At 38.3% G+C, this 25026-nt stretch overlaps 1 long non-coding RNA gene across 1 annotated transcript in view, besides 2 other annotated features; it reads left to right on the plus strand.

Moving 5' to 3' along the window:
* The window catches only part of LINC02456 (long intergenic non-protein coding RNA 2456), a 432422-nt gene that overhangs the window by 21192 nt on the left and 386204 nt on the right, over positions 1–25026 (plus strand). The window contains exons 4-5 of the long non-coding RNA XR_007063427.1: positions 3867–3991; positions 14546–14725. This is a non-coding gene — a long non-coding RNA (long intergenic non-protein coding RNA 2456). The remainder of the gene's footprint in view (positions 1–3866; positions 3992–14545; positions 14726–25026) is intronic.
* Positions 12137–12672: an enhancer, noted in NCBI's record as "H3K4me1 hESC enhancer chr12:102706680-102707215 (GRCh37/hg19 assembly coordinates)". NCBI's record gives its function as "activates a minimal SCP1, AML or CMV promoter by ChIP-STARR-seq in naive H9 embryonic stem cells {active_cell/tissue: H9 hESC(naive)}" and the evidence as "EXISTENCE:reporter gene assay evidence [ECO:0000049][PMID:30033119]".
* Positions 21452–22193: an enhancer, noted in NCBI's record as "OCT4-NANOG hESC enhancer chr12:102715995-102716736 (GRCh37/hg19 assembly coordinates)". NCBI's record gives its function as "activates a minimal SCP1, AML or CMV promoter by ChIP-STARR-seq in primed H9 embryonic stem cells {active_cell/tissue: H9 hESC(primed)}" and the evidence as "EXISTENCE:reporter gene assay evidence [ECO:0000049][PMID:30033119]".

Here is a 25026-nt window from a genome sequence, read left to right on the forward strand (position 1 = left end):
TAAAATCAGTATTTTGAATTATTTATCTGATATTTCAAAGACTTCATTTTGGTTAGGATTTGTTCTGAGGAGTTAGTATTCCCCTTTGGGGGTGTTGTTACATTCTGTTTTTTCCATACTTTCAGAGTTGTTTCCCTGGTTGTTTCTTATCTGGATAAGCTGTCTCTCCTTCTTATTTTTTAATTTTGCTTCCCTTTGGACAGGATTATTTTGCCCCCTTGAGGAGGTGTCTGTACTGTATGATGTGGTGTAGTGTCCTTTGGGTTTGGTTCTGGGTATTTTCAGTGGCAAAGAGTCTGTATAAATTCTTTGGTAATAGCCTTTGTATGGTGACTTTCTCAAATGCTGGTTGTTGTAGTGATGTGCTAAGCATGTGAGCAGCCTCACTCACTGCCTCCTGTGGGCTCAGGGTGATGGAAGTCTCAGGAAGCTTATTTCATTCTCCAGTACTCTGCACTTGAGTCAGCAGATTTCCTGTTGTGTTGCACCATTCAACTTCCAGGCCAGTAGGTGGTGCTTATGTCTGTTTTTATCTCCTACACCCTTGTGGTTCTTATGCTTAGTGTTCTACCCATGAGTGAAAATTGGGTATTGAAGTACCCAATTATTGATGAATTGTCTATTTCTCTCTTCATTTAAATCAATTTATGCTTCATATGTATTGGTGCTCTGTTGTTAGGTGCATATATATTTTTGATTGATGTATCTTTCTGGTTAATTGACCTTTTAAAAAACATCTTCTTTTATCTATAGTAATATCTTTTGTTTTAAGGTATATTTTGTCAGGTAATTGTATAACCATTCCAACTTTCTTGTGGTTGCTGTTTGCATGATATTTCTCTTTCATCTTTTTACTTTAAGTCTATTTGTATTTTGAATCTAAAGTGTGTTTCCCATAGATAGCATGTATTGACTCTTGTTTTTTGATCTAGTCTGAGAATCTCTGCCTTTTGACTGGATTATTTAGTCCATTCACCTTTAATGCTATTATTGATATAGTTGGAATTATGTTTGCCATTTTTGTTTTTTATATATCTCATGTTTCTCTTGTTCCTCTGTTTCTGCTTTACTGCTTTCTTTTGCATGAAGTGAATATTTTATAATGTAGCATTTTAATTTTTTAAATTATTTTTTCACTATATTTTTGAGTTATTAGTGGTTACTCTAGGGTTTTTCTATATACACTGTGACTTATAATAATCAGTTTGAGATTTATACTAAATTAATTCTAGTGAGATACAGAAATGTTACTTCTATATACCTTTGTTCCCTTCCCCCCATTTTTGTGATACTATTCTTATTCATATTACATCTATTACATCTAATATCTGAATATTACAAACCCAACAATGCATTGTTGTAATGATAAATTTACACGCTTTTATGTTTTTTAAGGATATTGAGGAGAGCAAATACAGACACACACAAACACACACACACATTTATAGCTTTTGTTGTGTTAGCCTTTTAATTTATCATTTCTGGTTCTCTTCATTTGTTCCTGTGCATACAAGTTGCCATCTGAAGTCATTTCCTTAATCCAATACAGCTTTGCCCCCACCCACCTCTTTTGTTCTATTATTGACCAATATTACATTTTTATGTTATAGGCTCAACATCACATTATATACTTCTTTATACAATTACTTTTAAAATCTTTTAGAAGAAGAAAGGAAAAGAAATGCCTTGACTTTTACAATTAGATAATTACCTTTCCTGGTTCTTTTTGCTTTTTTCATATATATATTCCAATTACTCTCAGGGTTCACTTGTTTGTAGCATGAATTTCTTTTAGTACTTCTTATAAGGTAGGTCTGCTAGCAACACATTCCCTCTGTTTTTATTAGGACATGTCATTATTTTACCTTATTTTGGTGGATATAGAATTCTTGGTTAATAATTGCTTTTTTTGGTTCATTCTGAATATGTTGTCCTTCTGGCCTCAATTAATTCTGCTGAGACATCAGCTGTTAATCTTCCTGGAGTTTCAGTCTAAGTGATGAGTCATTTTTATCTTGATGTAGTCAAAATTTTCTTATTGTCTTTAGCTTTAGCTTTTTCACTTTTAGGTGTCTTTTGATGTGACATTGTAATCATACTTTTTAAATCATGGCCCATTTTATTTGAAAATATTATTTGAAATTATTTATAATCTCTACTTTGAAAACTTTTTCTGTTCAATCTGACATCTGATGTCTGTTAAATCTGACATCTGGTAAGTCTTCCAGGCAGTTTCTGTTGTCTACAATTTTTTTTCAGTGTATTGCTTATTCTTTCCTGCTTCTTTATATGTCTCATAATTTTTTGTTGAAAAATTTTAGGTAGTATATTGTAATAATACTGGGTACTGGTCTTCTGGGGCTTGTTGTTATTTGCTTATTTACTTGTTTGTTGATTGACTAGATTATTTTGGTGTAATTTATTTCTTCCTCTGAAGCATAAAGTCTATAAAGTTGTTTCTCAGGGGATGCAGTTTGATATGCTCACAGTCAGCTGGCAACACAGTGGATTTGGGAGAGCTCTCTTTTGTCTTTTTCTCTGGTCATACCCAGGTATTATGCTCCACTACTTACTTGCTGGCTGATGGCTCTGTTGCTTTCAACAATGCCCTGGAATATAGATTGTTTTACAAACTGACCCAAAAATTTGGGCTCTTCTTAAAAAATTGTTCCTGAGGTCAGTTTTTGAGATTTGTTTTGACCCTAAGAGGGTTCCTCCCAGATGTCTTGCTTTCTATTTCTCTATAGCAAATCATCCAGCTTACAACTTAGGCTATATCTCTAACAAATCTATCAATTTTTTCCCAATTGCTTTTCACAAACTTTCACTGTTTTTGAGAGTGACTTTAGGCTTGAAATTGTCCATGGTTTGTTGGAAATGAAGTCAATTTCTTTGGGGAGAGATTTTAAGTATTCTGTTATACAGCGTGCTTCTCTACGTTTGGGCAAAATCTCTGAGCCACAGCTCTGGTCCTGGAACAGGGACAATGACAGACTTCCCTCTAAATGATATACCCACTTTAAGTGCTAGTAACTTTTGGTGTGTGTGTGAAGTGGTCCCAGTTCAACTCGGCTTGACTCTGCTAGTATGGCACTGATATGGTTTGGCTGTGTCCCCACCCAAATCTCACCTTGAATTGTAATAATCCCCACCTGTCAAGGACAGAGCCACGTGGAGATTGAATCATGGGGGCAGTTTACCCCATTCTGTTCTTGTGGTAGTGAATACATCTCATGAAATCTGATGGCTTTATAAATGGGAGTTCCCCTGCACAAGCTCTCTCTTAGCTGCTGCCATGTAAGATGTGACCTTGCTCCTCATTCACTTTCCTTCATGATTGTGAGGCAGCCTTGTGGGACTGTGAGTCCGTTAAACCTCTTTGCTTTACAAATTACCCAGTCTTGAGTATGTCTTTATTAGCAGTGTGGAACAGATTAATACAGGCATCTGTTAAAGCAGACTAAATATGGCCTGAGAAGGACTCTGTATTTCTATATTTGAGTCCTTGTAGATGAACTGTAACCTAGCTTAATAGCCAGACAAAATTGAAAACCTAACTTAATAGTATGCACCGTAACAATAGTTGAGTGTTGGCCATTCCAGTGGTCATACTTCAACCACTCATAGACTGCTGAGTGTTCAAACAAGGCAAACGCAGAGCTGTGACCAACCTCACTGTTTCTGTACTTCACTTTTGATTCCCATACATCACTTTAACTTTTTGTCTATAAATTTGTTCTGACCACAAGGCACCCCTGGAGTCTCTGTGTATCTGCTGTGATTCTGGGGATGCCCAATTCGTGAATCGTTCATTGCTCAATTAAACTCCTTTAAATTTAACTCAGCTGAAGTTTTTCTTTTATCAGATAATGTCAGAAGCAGGATCCAAAGTGGAGCTTCTAGTGACCCCCAGGAGTGCTGAGTAAACACGCAAGGTACCTGCAGGACCCACTTGTGTCCATTGATCTCTCAGAGCAGCTGGGCATCGTGGGTAAGTTCCCTCTTGGATTTTGGAGCTCCACGGATTTGTGTTTTGAGCTCTCTGAGTTTCTTTGGGCAAATTTCTGATCCAAACTGGGTTTGGAGTTGTGACAGAAACTGGACTGGGTCCAGGAACAGATTTGATCCGGGAATTAACTGGCTTGGATCCAGTTAGAGGCCTCTTACATCTGACTGGGTCAGAAAGGAACTGGTAGTAAGCAGTAATATTTCAGGGGTTATAGAGTTTGGCTTTTGAAAATTCACAAGGATTTTTGTGCTCTACCCTTTTGTTCATTTTTCTTGCCTGCATCGGTAGGAAAAAAAATCATTGGATAAGTTAATCAAGAGAGCCTGAGAGTAAAGCCAATATTTTAGGTAAAAATGGAATCCTTAATTTCTGGAAAACTGAGTTCCTTCTGGCTTATACTTTAGGCCTGGGAGGCAGTGAAGTCTTACAGAAATGGCAAAATCTTACTAAAGGTAACTTACAGTGGAACGTTCCGAATGAACAACAATGCACTGAAGTACATTTACAAATGAGGGCTCTTGGTAAAGTCCCTTTTGGCTAAGAACAGGGTTGGCACTACGGGATGTCAACTGCTGTTTTCTTTGGAATAATCTGCCTTGCACTCTTTGCTGACAACTATGGGTGACAGAATTAGGATCGTGGGACACGGAGAGCTTTTTCCTCCCCCAAAAGGGAAAACTTGAAAGCTGATGGGACTGCTGGAAAAAAAATCCTTTTACAACAGCAGCTGCAGCCGCCTGAACTTCTCAGTATCACTGCAATGGGTTGGTTTTTCTCTGGTCTTCCTGAGCATTTTGCCTTCCCCACCCTGCCATAGGCAAACCTTTTCTCTCTCTCCTTTCTGTTTTTCATCTTTTCTGTTACTCAGGGCAACCATCATGCCCAGAGACCATGTGTTGAAACTCCTAGTCAGAGGTTGGATTAAAGATGATGGGGCCCAGCTGAGGGCAAATTTAAGCCTTGTCAGTTTGATATTGGGTGCTAAGCAGAGTGGCTAATGTCTGTTTATCACATGTGTTTTACTCTGGCCAGAATGAAAAAAGATAATTTTCCTTTATGATGCAGCTTGTCCCCCAATGGGATGGTGTGGCAAGCTGGGTTACCGGGGCCACTTAGGGAAAGGAAACACAGAAACCTGGCATGCAGGCCAAAGGGTAAGAATTTCTTACCAGTCAGATTTCTGGCTTCTCCCTCTCTGTGCAGACAGTTGATTAAATGGTAAAAATTGCTGTTTAAGCCAGGCACGGTGGCTCACACCTGTAATCCTAGCACTTTGGGAGGTTGAGGTGGGCGGATCACTTGAGGTCAGGAGTTCAAGACCAGCCTGGCCAACATGGCAAAACCCCATCTTTACTAAAAATACAAAAAATTAGCTGGGTGTGGTGGCAGGTGCCTGTAATCCCACCTACTCGGGAGGCTGAGGCAGGAGAATCACTTGAACCCAGGAGGCGGAGGTTGCAGTGAGCCAAGATCACGCCATTGCACTCCAGCCTGGGCAACAAGAGTGAAATTCCATCTCAAAAAAAAAAAAAAAGAAAGAAAAAGAAAAAAGTCACTGTTTATCTCTTCTGTAAAGTTTTGATTAATGCAAAAAAGAATTCCGAGGCTAGTCTTAAACTGATATATTTGTGCTATGAATTTGTTTTTCTGTGTCAAGGGGTGCCTTAAGATAAAACATGGGCTTAGGACCCCATAAGCTCGCTGCTCAAGATGGCCCAGCAGGCTGGTCAATAACAAACTTTCCTGCAGGTCCCTGAAACAAACAAATGAAAAACTGGATGGGGTCTCCATCTTGTTTCATGTCCTTGGGAGCTTGACCTTGTAACCACGTGGCAGTACTTTCTCTTGGTCTCCACCTTCCAGGGAACACGAATTTTAGGTTTTATGTCATAGTTAGCTCTAAAAATTATCTTAAGTAGTTAAAAGCCTCTACAAGCTCAAAATTAACTACTCTAGACTCCTTCTGGGAAGAACAGTGGAACTTTCCCTGTGGTATAGCTTGGTACATAAGGTTTTGGCCTTTCACACTAGAAGTCCAGGTTCAATTCCCTGCTTAGAAAGCAAGCCTTTTCTGGTTTAATATCTACATAACCTTGTCTAGTCTCTTCTCCACCATGGACTATCCTAAGTTTTCCTTTCGCTGAGCACCTGGGAGGTTACCTTTGGTAAAGTTCAAAACCAGAAATATTGGCCAAACTGGGTAATAAGAAATTTTAAAAGGATATTATTAAAGGGTGCTATGGTTAAAAGTCAGCTTAATTAAAAGCAGATATTCAAGCTCTAAGAGCCTGGATTCCTTGGGAAAAACAGGAGGCACCAGAAACCCATTTCCTGGCCCTGTTCTTCCTAGGGCTCCACCCTAAAGCCAATAACCAATTAAGAAACTTAAAAACTGGCAAATGAAAAATCTTATAACTACTGTAGTAATCTTCTTATGTCTGTCTATTTGTGTAATTATATATGTGTTGTGTGTAATGTTTATATAAAAGAGCTCCAATTAATTGGCTTAAACAAAAACAAGTGCTTAAATAAAATATTTTGAAAGCAAAATAAAAACTGTAAGGCCTTTTAGTTCATGTAACTTTAGTAATTACTGGGAAATAAAAACAGCTTTAAAGATTATTGATAAAATAAACACATTTTGTCTAAATTATGCCGGTCAGATATTAGGTTTGCTAAATGCTTTAAGGTCATAAACTGCTTTGACTTTTGAAAATTGTTCAATTTATTTTGAAGACATTAAATTCTAAATAAGGCCTGGGGATATATGGAATTATCCATGTCCCCTAGCTATGCAAAGAAGGTTATAAAGAGATTTTACATAAGAAAGGATGTTTTTTGGTAAATTATTGTCCTAAAGTAAAATGACTGGTTGTTTAAAAAGAGGGATGTTTAGGGCAGGTCAGAAAGTCTAAACATGTCATACATGGTATGTGTAAGTCGTGACAATTTATGAAAAGAAATTAATGCCAGAAATGCTTTACAATTTATTTTTTTATTATTATTATTTTTTATTATACTTTAAGTTTTAGGGTACATGTGCACATTGTGCAGGTTAGTTACATATGTATACATGTGCCATGCTGGTGTGCTGCACCCACTAACTCATCATCTAGCATTAGGTATATCTCCCAATGCTATCCCTCCCTACTCCCCCGACCCCATAACAGTCCTCAGAGTGTGATATTCCCCTTCCTGTGTCCATGTGATCTCATTGTTCAATTCCCACCTATGAGTGAGAATATGCGGTGTTTGGTTTTTTGTTCTTGGCGATAGTTTACTGAGAATGATGATTTCCAATTTCATCCATGTCCCTACAAAGGACATGAACTCATCCTTTTTTATGGCTGCATAGTATTCCATGGTGTATATGTGCCACATTTTCTTAATCCAGTCTATCATTGTTGGACATTTGGGTTGGTTCCAAGTCTTTCCTATTGTGAATAATGCCGCAATAAACATACGTGTGCATGTGTCTTTATAGCAGCATGATTTATAGTCCTTTGGGTATATACCCAGTAATGGGATGGCTGGGTCAAATGGTATTTCTAGTTCTAGATCCCTGAGGAATCGCCACACTGACTTCCACAATGGTTGAACTAGTTTACAGTCCCACCAACAGTGTAAAAGTGTTCCTATTTCTCCACATCCTCTCCAGCACCTGTTGTTTCCTGACTTTTTAATGATTGCCATTCTAACTGGTGTGAGATGGTATCTCATCGTGGTTTTGATTTGCATTTCTCTGATGGCCAGTGATGATGAGCATTTTTTCATGTGTTTTTTGGCTGCATAAATGTCTTCTTTTGAGAAGTGTCTGTTCATGTCCTTCGCCCACTTTTTGATGGGGTTGTTTGTTTTTTTCTTGTAAATTTGTTTGAGTTCATTGTAGATTCTGGATATTAGCCCTTTGTCAGATGAGTAGGTTGCAAAAATTTTCTCCCATTCTGTAGGTTGCCTATTCACTCTGATGGTAGTTTCTTTTGCTGTGCAGAAGCTCTTTATTTTAATTGGATCCCATTTGTCAATTTTGTCTTTTGTTGCCATTGCTTTTGGTATTTTAGACATGAAGTCCTTGCCCGTGCCTATGCCCTGAATGGTAATGCCTAGGTTTTCTTCTAGGGTTTTTATGGTTTTAGGTCTAGCATTTAAGTCTTTAATCCATCTTGAATTGATTTTTGTATAAGGTGTAAGGAAGGGATCCAGTTTCAGCTTTCTACATATGGCTAGCCAGTTTTCCCAGCACCATTTATTAAATAGGGAATCCTTTCCCCATTGCTTGTTTTTCTGAGGTTTGTCAAAGATCAGATAGTTGTAGATATGCGGCGTTATTTCTGAGGGCTCTGTTCTGTTCCATTGATCTATATCTCTGTTTTGGTACCAGTACCATGCTGTTTTGGTTACTGTAGCCTTGTAGTATAGTTTGAAGTCAGGTAGTGTGATGCCTCCAGCTTTGTTCTTTTGGCTTAGGATTGACTTGGCAATGTGGGCTTTTTTTTGGTTCCATATGAACTTTAAAGTAGTTTTTTCCAATTCTGTGAAGAAAGTCATTGGTAGCTTGATGGGGATGGCATTGAATCTGTAAATTACCTAGGGCAGTATGGCCATTTTCACCATATTGATTCTTCCTACCCATGAGCATGGAATGTTCTTCCATTTGTTTGTATCCTCAGTGGTTTGTAGTTCTCCTTGAAGAGGTCCTTCACATCCCTTGTAAGTTGGGTTCCTAGGTATTTTATTCTCTTTGAAGCAATTGTGAATGGGAGTTAACTCATGATTTGGCTCTCTGTTTGTCTGTTGTTGGTGTATAAGAATGCTTGTGATTTTTGTACATTGATTTTGTATCCTGAGACTTTGCTGAAATTGCTTATCAGCTTAAGGAGATTTTGGGCTGAGACAGTGGGGTTTTCTAGATATACAATCATGTCGTCTGCCAACAGGGACAATTTGACTTCCTCTTTTCTTAATTGAATACCCTTTATTTCCTTCTCCTGCCTAATTGCCCTGGCCAGAACTTCCAACACTATGTTGAATAGGAGTGGTGAGAGAGGGCATCCCTGTCTTGTGCCAGTTTTCAAAGGGAATGCTTCCAGTTTTTGCCCATTCAGTATGATATTGGCTGTGGGTTTGTCATAGATAGCTCTTATTATTTTGAAATAGGTCCCATCAATACCTAATTTATTGAGAGTTTTTAGCATGAAGCGTTGTTGAATTTTGTCAATGGCTTTTTCTGCATCTATTGAGATAATCATGTGGTTTTTGTCTTTGGCTCTGTTTATATGCTGGATTACATTTATTGATTTGCGTATATTGAACTAGCCTTGCATCCCAGGGATGAAGCCCACTTGATCATGGTGGATAAGCTTTTTGATGTGCTGCTGGATTCGTTTTGCCAGTATTTTATTGAGGATTTTTGCATCAATGTTCATCGAGGATATTGGTCTAAAATTCTCTTTTTTGGTTGTGTCTCTGCCCAGCTTTGGTATCAGAATGATGCTGGCCCCATAAAATGAGTTAGGGAGGACTCCCTCTTTTTCTATTGATTGGAATAGTTTCAGAAGGAATGGTACCAGCTCCTCCTTGTACCTCTAGTAGAATTCAGCTGTGAATCCATCTGGTCTTGGACTCTTTTTGGTTGGTAAGCTATTGATTATTGCCACAATTTCAGCTCCTGTTATTGGTCTATTCAGAGATTCAACTTCTTCCTGGTTTAGTCTTGGGAGAGTGTATGTGTCGAGGAATTTATCCATTTCTTCTAGATTTTCTAGTTTATTTGCGTAGAGGTGTTTGTAGTATTCTCTGATGGTAATTTGTATTTCTGTGGGATCGGTGGTGATATCCCCTTTATCATTTTTTATTGCGTCTATTTGATTCTTCTCTCTTTTTTTCTTTATTAGTCTTGCTAGCGGTCTATCAATTTTCTTGATCCTTTCAAAAAACCAGCTCCTGGATTCATTAATTTTTTTGAAGGGTTTTTTGTGTCTCTATTTCCTTCAGTTCTGCTCTGATTTTAGTTATTTCTTGCCTTCTGCTAGCTTTTGAATATGTTTGCTCTTGCTTTTCTAGTTCTTTTAATTGTGATGTTAGGGTGTCAATTTTGGATCTTTCCTGCTTTCTCTTGTGGGCATTTAGTGCTATAAATTTCCCTCTACACACTGCTTTGAATGCGTCCCAGAGATTCTGGTATGTTGTGTCTTTGTTCTCGTTGGCCTCAAAGAACATCTTTATTTCTGCCTTCATTTCGTTATGTACCCAGTAGTCATTCAGGAGCAGGTTGTTCAGTTTCCATGTAGTTGAGCGGTTTTGAGTGAGATTCTTAATCCTGAGTTCTAGTTTGATTGCACTGTGGTCTGAGAGATAGTTTGTTATAATCTCTGTTCTTTTACATTTGCTGGGGAGAGCTTTACTTCCAACTGTGTGGTCAATTTTGGAATAGGTGTGGTGTGGTGCTGAAAAAAATGTATATTCTGTTGATTTGGGGTGGAGAGTTCTGTAGATGTCTATTAGGTCCGCTTGGTGCAGAGCCGAGTTCAATTCCTGGGTATCCTTGTTGACTTTCTGTCGTTGATCTGTCTAATGTTGACAGTGGGGTGTTAAAGTCTCCCATTATTAATGTGTGGAGTCTAAGTCTCTTTGTAGGTCACTCAGGACTTGCTTTATGAATCTGGGTGCTCCTGTATTGGGTGCATATATATTTAGGATAGTTAGCTCTTCTTGTTGAATTGATCCCTTTACCATTATGTAATGGCCTTCTTTGTCTCTTTTGATCTTTGTTGGTTTAAAGTCTGTTTTATCAGAGACTAGGATTGCAACCCCTGCCTTTTTTTGTTTTCCATTTGCTTGGTAGATCTTCCTCCATCCTTTTATTTTGAGCCTATGTGTGTCTCTGCACGTGAGATGGGTTTCCTGAATATAGCACACTGATGGGTCTTGACTCTTTATCCAATTTGCCTGTCTGTGTCTTTTAATTGGAGCATTTAGTCCATTTACATTTAAAGTTAATATTGTTATGTGTGAATTTGATCCTGTCATTATGATGTTAGCTGGTTATTTTGCTCGTTAGTTGATGCAGTTTCTTCCTAGTCTCGATGGTCTTTACATTTTGGCATTATTTTGCAGCGGGTGGTACCAGTTGTTCCTTTCCATGTTTAGTGCTTCCTTCAGGAGCTCTTTTAGGGCAGGCCTGGTGGTGACAAAATCTCTCAGCATTTGCTTGTCTGTAAAGTATTTTATTTCTCCTTCGCTTATGAAGCTTATTTTGGCTGGATATGAAATTCTGGGTTGAAAATTCTTTTCTTTAAGAATGTTGAATATTGGCCCCCACTCTCTTCTGGCTTGTAGGGTTTCTGCCGAGATATCCACTGTTAGTCTGATGGGCTTCCCTTTGAGGGTAACCAGACCTTTCTCTCTGGCCGCCCTTAACATTTTTTCCTTCATTTCAACTTTGGTGAATCTGACAATTATGTGTCTTGGAGTTGCTCTTCTTGAGGAGTATCTTTGTGGCGTTCTCTGTATTTCCTGAATCTGAACGTTGGCCTGCCTTGCTAGATTGGGGAAGTTCTCTTGGATAATATCCTGCAGAGTGTTTTCCAACTTGGTTCCATTCTCCCCATCACTTTCAGGTACACCAATCAGACGTAGATTTGGTCTTTTCACATAGTCCCATATTTCTTGGAGGCTTTGCTCTTTTCTTTTCTTTTTTCTCTAAACTTCCCTTATTGCTTCATTTCATTCATTTCATCTTCCATTACTGATACCCTTTCTTCCAGTTGATTGCATCAGCTCCTGAGGCTTCTGCATTCTTCACGTAGTTCTCGAGCCTTGGTTTTCAGCTCCATCAGCTCCTTTAAGCACTTCTCTGTATTGGTTATTCTAGTTATACATTCTTCTAAATTTTTTTCAAAGTTTTCAACTTCTTTGCCTTTGGTTTGAATGTCCTCCCGTAGCTCAGAGTAATTTGATCGTCTGAAGACTTCTTCTCTCAGCTCGTCAAAGTCATTCTCCATCCAGCTTTGTTCTGTTGCTGGTGAGGAACTGCGTTTCTTTGGAGGAGGAGAGGCGCTCTGCTTTTTAGAGTTTCCAGTTTTTCTTTTCTGTTTTTTCCCCATCTTTGTGGTTTTATCTACTTTTGGTCTTTGATGATGGTGATGTACAGATGGATTTTTGGTGTGGATGTCCTTTCTGTTTGTTAGTTTTCCTTCTAACAGACAGGACCCTCAGCTGCAGGTCTGTTGGAATACCCTGCCCTGTGAGGTGTCAGTGTGCCCCTGCTGGGGGGTGCCTCCCAGTTAGGCTGCTTGGGGGTCAGGGGTCAGGGACCCACTTGAGGAGGCAGTCTGCCCGTTCTCAGATCTCCAGCTGCGTGCTGGGAGAACCACTGCTCTCTTCAAAGCTGTCAGACAGGGACATTTAAGTCTGCAGAGGTTACTGCTGTCTTTTTGTTTGTCTGTGCCCTGCCCCCAGAGGTGGAGCCTACAGAGGCAGGCAGGCCTCCTTGAGCTGTGGTGGGCTCCACCCAGTTGGAGCTTCCTAAGCAAGCCTGGGCAATGGCGGGCGCCCCTCCCCCAGCCTCGCTGCCGCCTTGCAGTTTGATCTCAGACTGCTGTGCTATCAATCAGTGAGACTCCGTGGGCGTAGGACCCTCCAAGCCAGGTGCCGGATATAATCTCGTGGTGCGCCGTTTTTTAAGCCCGTCGGAAAAGCGCAGTATTCGGGTGGAAGTGGCCCGATTTTCCAGGTGCGTCCGTCACCCCTTTCTTTGACTCGGAAAGGGAACTCCCTGACCCCTTGCGCTTCCCAAGTGAGGCAATGCGTCACCCTGCTTCGGCTCGCGCACGGTGCGTGCACCCACTGACCTGCGACCACTGTCTGGCACTCCCTAGTGAGATGAACCCTGTACCTCAGATGGAAATGCAGAAATCACCCGTCTTCTGCGTCGCTCATGCTGGGAGCTGTAGACTGGAGCTGTTCCTATTCGGCCATCTTGGCTCTTCCCCCGTTTTACAATTTAAAGGTGATTAGGCTTCCTAAATGCTTCATAAAATGCCACTATGACTCTTAACTGTACAGCTTGCCTACTCTACAGCTGGGTAAGGCCTGGGACACATGGAGTTAGACACTGGAAAGGCTCAGATCTTATCTGCATTTCTGTTTGGGTCGTAGGCTCCACACCTAGTACATAATTAAAATCCCTTACCAAGGTTTTCACCAAAAGTAAAAGATGCTAAGAGTTAACATTTTAATATGTAATTGAGACTACTGAAAAAATAAGTTTACATACAAGGTTTGTAAAGGGAATAAAATGTGTTTTTGTGAGAGATTATAAGAAAGTATGGGAATGTAAATTTTTGTCTAGGTTAGAGGGTTAAAGATTTATTTTGAATTAAAAAGCTAAAGGTTAGAACAAGTTGTGAATGGTTTATAAAAATTAATTACAAGAGATTCTATGTGTGAATGTATTGGCTAAAGTTAAAATGGCATTATTCATTTTTTTTCTATAAATTGGACATTGGAATAGAAGAACAACAGAGTTTTCTTAGAACATTGTTCTGCTCTGAGAAAAAAAGTTGTAAAGGGTTATAAAAGGTTTATGAAAATCTTACCTTATGGTCAAACTAATTAAAACAATAGATTTATAAAATGTCATTAAAAACTAGCTTTAACATAAAAAATACACTAATGGGAACATAAAATTTGTTTTTCTCTTTTAAAAAGGATTTTTATGTAATATTAAAAGATAAAAGGTTTTAGTTTACCTTTTAAGTAAGCTACAAAAGGGAAAAGTGGAGGGAAGGAAAGAAAGGAGACAGAGTCAATTGTCCTAATGCTATCTTCATTGGGTCTTGCTTGGAAAGCTGAGTCTCCTCTTTATCAGAATGTTTTGTCCTTTTAAAAATTTTTGAGTTATCATTTTGGCTAAATGAATGACTTATGGTAACCTAAGATTCTATTTGGTAATATCCAATGTTTTAAACATTTGGTATTTAACAAACCTTTCAAAATCAAGCTCTAGATTATCATGCTAAATCAGCCAATACTAAAATTGTTTAAATATACAATTTAAATGAACTCCCTGGTCTAAGTCAAATTACCTATGATAACCCATTAGTTATCAGTGCTATGCATCTAAATTGGAGAAACAACTGGTATTCAAGAGGACATGAGTCTGATGTTAAGCATGGACTCATGAAGAACCAGGACAGCCTCCTAGTCCTTCCCGAGTCCTTAAAGCTCTTGTTACTAAAGGTTCTGCATTCCATGACTCATCACGGAAAAGATAAAATAATCCAAATAGAATATACTGATGTGGTGACTTATAGATAGTGGAAATATTTTAAAACCAATGTTTGGTTTCATATTCCTGGGAAGGCAATCAAAGCTTCAGGTACATTTGGCTACCTAATGTGTCATTTAAACATTTATAAAGAGATTTCATTCAATTGTCATTTTCACTGCATGTTTTCTGGTTGTATAAAAGCTTTCCCATGCAAGAGGGCTGATGTAACAGTAGATTATTGTGCTACCATGTATTTTCACCAGGTAAAGACCTTCACAATCGGGAACCCGTAGATTGGATCTTCTGAAAACATCAGAGAAAGACTATCTTTGCCATCCACACTACAGTAAAACTTTGGAGCCTTGAACCTTGGATTTATAATCTCACAACTGAGAAGGGTCCCTCCATACTCCTGGAACTGTACACCCATTGGAACTCTTAAGGTAAAACTAACCAGGAAAGTTTCTCCCCAGAAAAAGATGGCATCCTTGATGTGAACAGCTTTTCCCAAGATCACAGGTCAAAACTTCTACTATCATGAGACTCTTACCTTTGAATATTTTTACCTTGTTTATGCCTCTATGAGCAACAGAAATGAAAAGTGGGTCTATAATGTGCACTTATAGGGTATAATTTTATTTGTGAAGGATTTTGCGGGAAGCCAGCCTTATACATAAATAAACTTATACTTTAATAGATAAAAGATGAAGGCCCAAGGTGGGTGAGAAACTTTAGTGGTACATATGTTGACTCATAATCAGTCAAAACTCCTCTTAACCCACATCATGGATTAAAGAGAACATTGCCAGGAGGCCTTCACTCTTCTAGAAGGACATAATTTGTTAGGTCCTTTTTCCATGGTTTAGAATACAAGAGGCAATAATTAGAAATGTCTCCCTCTTAATAGGCATGGGTTCAAATAAGGCAAACGTGGAGCTGTAGCCAATCTCGCTGTTTGTGTACCTCACTTCTGATTCCTGTGTGTCACTTTAACATTTTTGTCTATACATTTTTTCTGACCAGGAGACACCCCTGGAGTCTGTGAATCTGCTGTGATTCTGGGGGCTGCCCGAATCATGAATCATTCATTGCTCAATTAAACTCCTTTAAGTTTAATTTGGCTGAAGTTTTTCTTTTATCACACCCTTGCCCCATGAGCCAGGGAAAGGGCAACTGAGGCCGCAGTATTTTCAGTGGCACCAAGGTACACCCTGTATTCCACGAGTAGGGTCTGGAGAGAAGGGAGTCCCCGCCTCTCAACCAGATTTCAGAAACTATAGTAGATCTTCTATCCTCAAGGAAATGCATCTTATTTCTGGTATCAGAATCAAGGAGAAGCAGGCAAGACTGTTCTATAAGATGAGTTAGCATCCTGGAGGGTTTTTAGACTCAGGAATGGGGATCTCTAGGGAACCGATAGTAAAGGTTCCTACTAATCTGGGCAAATAGAGCTTAGTGTTGCATTACAGCTGTTTTCTAAGATGGTCAATATTGTTCTACTCTCTTCCTCCATTCAGTACCTTTTTTAAAACAATTACTCAGAGGTCATTGCTTATATCCCAAACTACTTATTAGGACAATATCAGTTATAAAAGGTTGCTGGATTCTCTTTGATTTGTGCCAGCTTCCCATCACTTGCTGCTAGGAACCTCATATCATAAGCTGGGAGACTGGTTGATATGCATAGCTCCTTACCTATTTTATAGTGTTTTCCAGTCTTTTATTTCATGTGAATTCTGATTGCCTAACAAGAAATTTTCTTATCCTACTAAATTTCTCACTAAGAGGAAATGTCAAGCCTCTAAAGCTCTTCCCAGCTATCTGTACTCACAGTTAAATTGAACTGCAGAGACTGGTATGAGTAGCTGATTGAGGAGGTAATGAAATATCCCAGGCTGCTTTTGGCAGCAACTCTGAATCAACCAAGGCCAGCCAAGGCAAACTTTAAACGCAAAAACCCGGACTAAATGGATGAATTTATTCTAATGTATTTTTGTCCACATGCCTCTGCAAATTGTTTACAGGTTTTCTGCCTTTTGACTAGTAGAATTTTTTATTGCATTCAGATAGATCATTGATGAACACTGCTAGTTTCCTGGGCTATTGAAAATTTGCCTTTCTTATTGGGTTTTCATGAATGTTTCTCTGGTAGAGAAAGGAGGTTAAAAAAATGAGAGATTGCTAACTTTCTACCATCATAAAGTCTGGATTTGGATACTGTTTTATGGCAAAGACAGTAATGTTCCCCCAAATTTCCTAGAATTCTTGCAGTTGGGTTGAGTCATGTGGTTAGTTGTGGTCAATGGGCTCGAAATGACATATATTGCCTCTGATATGAATCTTAGAAGAGTCCACACAAACGTCTCCATCTATCTTTTACTTTTCTCTATTGACCAAGAAGGCCATATGGTAGAGCCTTCATCATCCTGAATAATTGGGGAAGAGATCTTTTTGACCCGACAATTGATAAGAGCCCTGGCAAGTAGTGTGAGCCGCAGTAAACTATTTTTGGTACAAGCCAGTGAGGTTTTTAGGGGTGGTTTGTTATTGCAGTTGCCTATCCTGACTAATGTATTTTTCTACATACCTAAACCATCAGGTTTCATCAAAACATTGGTGGAAAATAAGAATATTTCTAGATGATTTGTTGGCTTTTCATTCAAGTTGAATATGTACCTATCTATTGGTTGAAAAAATTAATAGGGATTGTAGACATGTTATTCTTAGTAGGACAGGACAGGATAATGGTTTTTGAACATTCTCCCTGCTGTATATTAGCTTTGCTTTTAAATAAATACAGTAGTGAGGTGTGTTTATCAGTGTTTATTCTCCCACTATTGGATAACAGGGGCTCCTTGATCTAAAATGATAGGTAAGTGATCCCCTCTACTGTCCTAAGGTCATTACTTATTGACACCTCCCTATTATGCCTAGTCAATGTGTGATAAAAGATTGCATGGAAATGACAGGCATGAACCAGGATCTTTTCTCCTCTGTCCTCCTTTTCATTTGCCTTTTGATGTTTCTGCTGCTATTTGGCACCTCCACTAGAAGATTAGAAGGGGAAAAGAGAGGAAATTAAGCTCTTTTCCTGCAGACTAGCAGTTCTGATTTTTAAAGGGTACCTCGGGGTATTGTTTCATCTACTTATGAGTTTCAGGAGTGTGTGTTTGTGTGCGTGGTGGTGGGGGAGAAGAGAAAGAGAGAAAGACACAGAGAGAGAGACAGATATAATTAAACATGGAGTTTGAGTTTCCATGTTATCTGATTCTAGGAATTTAGTGTTGCCTCCATATTTATCAAGAATTATAGTCCTTTACCGTAATTTACTATAATGTATTATGTTTCTGTGTGTGTGTGTGTGTGTGTGAGAGAGAGAGAGAGAGAGAGAGAGAGAAGAGAGAGAAGAGAGAAACAGAGAGCGAGACAGAGATGGAGAGAGAGAGAGAGAATTAAACGGATTTTCAGAGTTTCCACATTATCTGATTCTAGGAATTTAGTGTTGCTTCTATATTTACCAAGAATTATAGTCCTTTAATTATTATGGAGGATAACTAAAAATATCCTGCATAATAATTAAAAGTTCCTTATTTTCAAGTGGCATAATGACTTTCTGTGCTAAGATCACTTGAAAATGTTAATTAAAGAAATCTATTTGCTCAAAAAAACTAAATGTGCATACTTTACACCTGTGGTAAATAATATAAAATTATAATTTGCCTTTGAGCTTAATCAAAATCAGCTTTAAATTTATTAGGCACCTGACTTTTTTATTTTTAATTAAAGACCATTTTGTTCAGTATGTAGTTTAAATCATGGAAGCGTAGTTACTTCTCAAGCAATTCCTTTAAGACTTGGGGCTTCTGTGTTTGAAGGGATCCAGGGGTTACAGTGTGGGCAGTACCCCTATACCAATTTAAGGTTTTTCTTACTCAGTAAGATGTTTTCTAAGATGAAAGAGATGGGTATATTCTATGTAACAGAGATAAATGTAAAATTTTATTCACCCTATGGGAAAAATTTGGATAGATTCCTCTTGGCAGTGAAAGGTATAAAATGAACTTAAAGGATGACTCTCCATAACATAATATTGAGTGAAACAAGAATAAACACATTATGACTCCATTTATAAAATATTTTTAAGGTAAAATTAAGCAATTTATTGTTTAAGGACACATGTTTGGTAAAACCATAATGAAAAACACATGGAAATGAACACAAAATACCATCTAATGCTTACTTTGGGGAACGGGAAGAGAGCCTCAAACAGAGAGATGTATGTGGAGGTTTCTACCACTTTAGTGTTATATTTCTAAAGTTGAGTTGTGAATACACAGATGTTGATTTCTATTCTAGTTCTTCACACTGTACATATGTTTTCTGTACTCTTTTGGAACTATACTGTATTTTATGTATAGTTCAATAAGTGATAGTTCAATATGAATTGTTGATGTGATATGACTCACTCAAAAGAGTTAGTGTCTCTTGTACATAATATTGTTAAGAAACTTGGAGTTAAGGAAATTGAAGGTATTGTCATATCCAGCCTTGATCAGACCATGCTTTAGTACTTTGTTCAGTTATATGCAGCCCACTTTAAGAGTGATGCAGACAAACTAGATTATGTTTAGGGGACAGTGATGAGGCTCGTAATGATTCTTGAAACTATATATGATATATGATTCTTCATATATTTGAAGGGAAGACATGAGAATGAGAGCTTAGATTTATACTACATACTCAAAAGAATAGAATCAAAATTAATAGATGATGCAACAAGAAAATATTTTATTGTAACAAAAATAGATTTTATCATAACAGAATCAAGAACTTACTAATAACTACATTTGTTCAATGAGTCGTCTTGATACATAGTGAGTTTCTTACTGGTGGAGATGTTCTAGCACAGGTTGAATGATCTCTTGGTGGGTTATTATCAGGAGATATGCCTAAAAGTCATTCTGGGTCCCGAAATTCTTCGAAGATTTCCAGAAATCTCTAGTCAACCTGAAATTTCTATTCAAGATCTCTTAGTTAAGTGGCAGCGGAGTGAGTAAAATCACAGAGTCTAGGACCAGATTCCTGGGTTGAATCCTGGCGTTTTTCAATTACTACCTGTATAACCTTGAGAAAATTACTTCTCTGTGTTTCCTTTTTGCAATCCATAAAATGGGTCTATCAGCCTCACAGAGTGGTTGTAAGACTTAGAAGAATGCCAGATAGTAAGTGCCACTAAATGTTTATTTTTTTAAGAAATAATTTTTTTCTAAAGATCAGTCATTCAATTTACTTTGAATCAATTACATTTTTGCTTTTGTTTTAAATAAAAAAACTTTATTTCTCTCTCTTCCTATGAGCAAATATATTTAATTATCCTCTGACATACAAGGGTATTGGAGTTTTTTTTTTTTTTAATTTTGTGGGCCCTAAATTCTAACAATTCCAGTAAGTATAGAATTTTAAACTAAAAAATCTCTTAACCTGACTTAAGTGGCTTTAGAATAGCTTTGTTGCATTATCACAGAACCACAGAACCCAAAAAGCCAAGAAGAACCTGAAAGAATGATTTAGTTTCTCTTACTCTTGGAATTAGGTACCTTGTCTGCAAAGTCTCCTTGCCCTTGAGGGATTGCTGCAAAGCCTGTCTCATTGTTCAATCTTTGCATGGCTCCTTCAATCGTTGCTAATACGAGGTGGATTGTCTGTTAAAAGTTAATGATGGTGAGCCAGGGAGTAGTGTACTGTTTTCGGTTTATTTGCAACAGTGGAAAGGGCAAACCTATTCATCTCAATGAAAATGTAACTGTTTACATTGGAAGCTTAAATTTTAGGACACACCATGTCCTGCTTTTGAAAAGACAATTTGTAGGGTAAGAGATGTTACAGTGATATTATGGAGGCCACAAGAAGTATATTTTCTGGTCATTGGTAGAAAACAATGATTAAAATCAGGCTTCTTTTGTAGGAGATACTGGTCATGTTTTCTAAAATGTTGACTGTGAGAGAAGAAAACAAGAATTATTAAATCTAGATCTCTGATGGGAAGTAAGAACAGAAATGAGGACAGGTGAAAGGAAGGCTAGACATGGTTTACACAGGTACATTTCCTGCTGATGATTGGTAGTGGTTGGGAGGGGACAGAAGGCAGGGAGATGTGAATTGATGAGGCACGGAGTATACCTGGGAATGGTGAGACTTGAACCTCAAGTTATAACCTAAGATTCACATAAATCTTGAAAACCATACTCTTGTTTTCTTCCAAACATGGAGCCATACCTATTCTAACTTCTTATGAGTGATTTGAGCATTATGACACCTCTACAGGAGATAGAGAAAAGGCAGAGCAAGAGATTGTCAGCTTGGAATGCCTCTAGGTGATGCTGGAGATAGCATCAATCTGCTTATCAGGGCTTTCTGGGTGTGGTGTAACCCAGAATAGCAGTCAGGATAGGCTAGGTACTGCTGCTGTGACAAAGTATTTTCCAATCTTGATGGCTTACAACCCCAGAGGTTTATTTTTTCTTATACTACATGCTTCCCCTGTTTCTCTCTCCTTCACAATTCTCTAGAATAGGGGTGTCCAATCTTTTGGCTTCCCTAAGCCACACTGGAAGAAGAAGAATTGTCTTGGGCCACACATAAAGTACACGAACACTAGCAATAGCTGATGAGCTTTAAAAAAAATTGCAAAAAACTCTCATAATGTTTTAAGAAAGTTTACAAATTTGTGTTGGGCCTCATTCAAAGCTGTCCTGGGCTACATGTGGCTGGTAGGCCATGGACTGGACAAGCTTGCCATAGAGGCTAGACAAGTAAGCTTTTTGTGTTTTCCTGTCTTGTTGGCACTTCCTCTTTGTCATAATCCTCTCCTTGCCATAGGGGTAATTCTCTGGGGCTATAATAGTTAAAGAACAACAAAAAAGAACATTGGTTTAATATTTTCAAAATGTTAACCCCTTTAAATATTTGATGAAGTGGAGATGTTATAAGAATAAATGTGAAAGCTATTAGAAAAATTCTGGTTAATTGGATATATATAGAGAAATATAGGCTGACTGCTAAATATATGCAGCCTTTCTAGCCTCATTGGTGGATGGTAATGCCATTTGGTGAGATGAGAATTGGTTGGGAGGTGAGGGAAGGTTTCGAGGGAGAAATCTGTCTAGACTTTTATTAATCTTTTGCTAGCTTAAAAAGTATAATTATAGGTGATTTTTTTCTTCCCTATTTTTTACCCCTAAATTTTTCGTAAAAGAGGCTTTGATAGTGAAATAACCTAATACTGAAGAACATATGTAGGTTACATTCTGAGGTCTGTGTCTGGGATATCCCAGGCTGGGTTGGGCCTGATCTGAGACTGAGGAATGTTGCTGAAGGAGGCTGGGATGAGCTTCCTGTGGTTTCTTAGATGGTCCTTGCTGGGTGGACAGGGTAGGGCATATGGCTCAGGTTGCCAAGATGGTGCTAAATGCCTTAATTTGGTTCAGAATGGTTTGATGGATGCTTTTGATTTTTTTTTTTAATGCTTCTCAGCTTGAAAACATTTCCAGTTTTTGTCCTTTTCATGGGAATTTATTGAACATAAGTAAGTTGGATGTTTTTCTTGTTAACTAGAAGACTTAATCATGTAACATGACAAAGGAAAGAAAGAAAAAGGATTTATGATTCTAAAGAATGGGCAATTCCCTTGAAGGAGTGGGTCATTCAGTGAAGCTGTTTGTTTGGCCTGGGTTTTCTTTAAGTTTATTTTTCTCACTCAGTTGAGATTTTGACTGTTTCTGACTACCTTCCTCAACTCTATCACTCTTTCTATGGCTTGTGGTTGGAAAACAGGGCCATCCAAGTAGCTTGTTGGGTCCCAGGCGAATGCCCTTTGACTCTCAACACCTTTTTAGAAAGGTACATTCTCTTTCAAGGAAAAATGAAGCCATGTAAGGGAAGCTTATGTACAAAATAGGATAATCCAGTTAACTCAGGTTATGGTGATTTGTCCTTTTTGTGTGTTTGTTTCAGCTGTTGCTATTGAAAACTCTTATAGAAGAATTTAGTTATTTCTTAATTTTATTTAGTTAATAATTTTAGTAAATAGATTTACTTTTTCTATGGCAAATGAGAACCTAGCAATACTACAGAATCATAGGACATATACATGTACAAGACACTTATTGATCTTCCCACAACATCTAACATTTCTACATGTTTTGAAATGTTTCTTCAGTAGACGTGTTCTGAAATGTTTTGAAATGTTTCTTCTAAAAACTGTTCACTCCTTTCTCCCTAAATGTGTATTATATGTTGGTATTATACTGGGTGCTCAGAATTATCTTTAAGAATGATGGGGTGTGCCGGGCATGTGGCTCATGCCTGTAATCCCAGTACTTTGGGAGGCTGAGGTGGGTGGATCACCTGAGCCCAGGAGTTCCAGACCACCTTGAGTAACATGGAAACCCTGTCTCTACTAAAAACACAAAAACTAGCCAGGTGCCTGTAGTCCCAGCTACTGGGGAGACAGGCATGAGAATCACTAGAACCCAGGAAGCAGAGGTTGCAGTGAGCCGCGATTGTGCCATTGCACGCCTGGGTGACAGAGTGAGATTCTGTCTCAAAATAAAAATAAAACAAAATAAATAATGATGAGGCCCAATTGGTTTCTCAAGAAGTGCACTTGGTTTCTCAAGTTGCCCACTTGGCCCTCCCGCAAGTTGTACTTTACTTTACTTTTCCTTCCTTTCCTTACTGTTCTAAAGCTTTTAAATAAACTTTCACTCCTGCTCTGAAAAAAAAAAGAATGATGGGAAACACAGGGGCTGCTAAAATCAAGATCAAGTACTGTACCTGGTCTTGGGCTGCTTATAAGCTAGTTGGAAAGAAAAGACACACACTTGGAAAGATAGCTAAAATATGACAAATAGCTAAAATATGACAAGTGTCATGTGAGCAAAACATAGAAAAAAAGGCCATGGAAGTTCAGCAAGGGTATATTCTCTGTGCACAGAACAATCTGATAAGCCTTCTCAGAAGAAATGGAATTGGAGCTGGGATCTGAGGTTTAGATTAGCAGAGACGGCAGTGGGAAGGACATTTCAGGGAGGAAAGAAGCAAAGGCACAGAAATGAAAAAGTAGAATACATGTTTGGGTGGGGCAGGATGATGAAAGCAATGAGAAGATTAATTTGTTTGGAGCAGAAACCCTCCCATCCCCATCACCAATCCTATTAACTCAAAGGTTCATTTAGTTAAAATACAGTAAAGCTTCAGTCCCTTACTTGCCCTTTTGAGTCCCAGTTTCCTTATTTGTAAAACGAGGTTAATCATACCTACCAGCCATAGATTAAATTATTAAATGATTAAATGGATTAAATGAGATAGGATACTAAAAGGAAGGTGTTGAGCAGGGTTCCTCACACTTTATCATCCCTCTTCACTCAATTCATTGCATTCAATTTAATTCCAGTGCTGTCTGTCATACTATCAAGACATCTCCTATGCTACTCCCCCTTGAGGATAATTTAAATTTGACTGTTATTGCATTTCTCTAAACTAGTTTCTATTCACCTTCTGGTTTAGGAGAATTTTCTTGGCATAAGCCATCTGTATATGCAAAGGAGACCAATGTCACATTTGAGGGCTTTAAATAATTCCTCACTAACCAGTTCAGGGTGGCTAGAGTATAACAAGCTAAAAGGGAGTAGTTGGCAATAAGAAAGGTGTCTCAGTTTGTTTTCTCTTGCTATAACAGAATACTTGAAACTGGCTAATTTATAAAGAAAAGGAATTTATTTCCTACAGTTATGGGAGATGAGAGGTCCAGAGTTCAGCAGCTGCATCTGGTAAGAGCCTTTTTTTTTTTTTTTAAGTTTTGATTCTTTTTTTTTTGTTTTTTTGTTTTTTTATTTTATTTTATTTTATTATTATTATACTTTAAGTTTTAGGGTACATGTGCACAATATGCAGGTTAGTTACATATGTATACATGTGCCATGCTGGTGTGCTGCACCCATTAACTCGTCATTTAGCATTAGGTATATCTTCTAATGCTATCCCTCCCCCCTTCCCCCTACCCCACAACAGTCCCCAGAGTGTGATGTTCCCCTTCCTGTGTCCATGTGTTCTCATTGTTCAATTCCCACCTATGAGTGAGAACATGCGGTGTTTGGTTTTTTGTCCTTGTGATAGTTTACTGAGAATGATGATTTCCAATTTCATCCATGTCCCTACAAAGGATATGAACTCATCATTTTTTATGGCTGCATAGTATTCCGTGGTGTATATATGCCACATTTTCTTGCTAATGGGGATGCTGCAGAGTCCTGAGGCAGTGCAGAGCATCACGTGGCAAGGGGGCTGAGTGCGCTAACATGCTAGCTTAGGTTTTTCTTCCTTTTCCTATATAGCCACAGTTCCCTTCCAATGATAACTCACTATTTCATTAATCTGTGAATAGACTAAGTCATTCATGAGGGCAGAGCCCTCATGACCCAATCACCTCTTAAATGCTTCACTTCTCAATACTGCCTGATATGGTTTTGGCTGTGTCCGCACCTAAATCTCATACTGAATTGTAGCTCCCATAATCCCTGCATGTCATGGAAAAAACCCCATGGGAGGTAATTGAATCATGGCAGCGGTTACCTCCATATCATGTTCTTATGATATTGAGTGAGTTCTTATGAGATCTGATGAGATCTCATGAGATCTGATGGTTTTAGAAGGGGCTTTCCCCCACTTCTCTCTGCACATCTCC

This window comes from Homo sapiens, chromosome 12, assembly GCF_000001405.40.
Source record: "Homo sapiens chromosome 12, GRCh38.p14 Primary Assembly".
In the NCBI taxonomy this organism is placed as follows: Eukaryota; Metazoa; Chordata; class Mammalia; order Primates; family Hominidae; genus Homo; species Homo sapiens.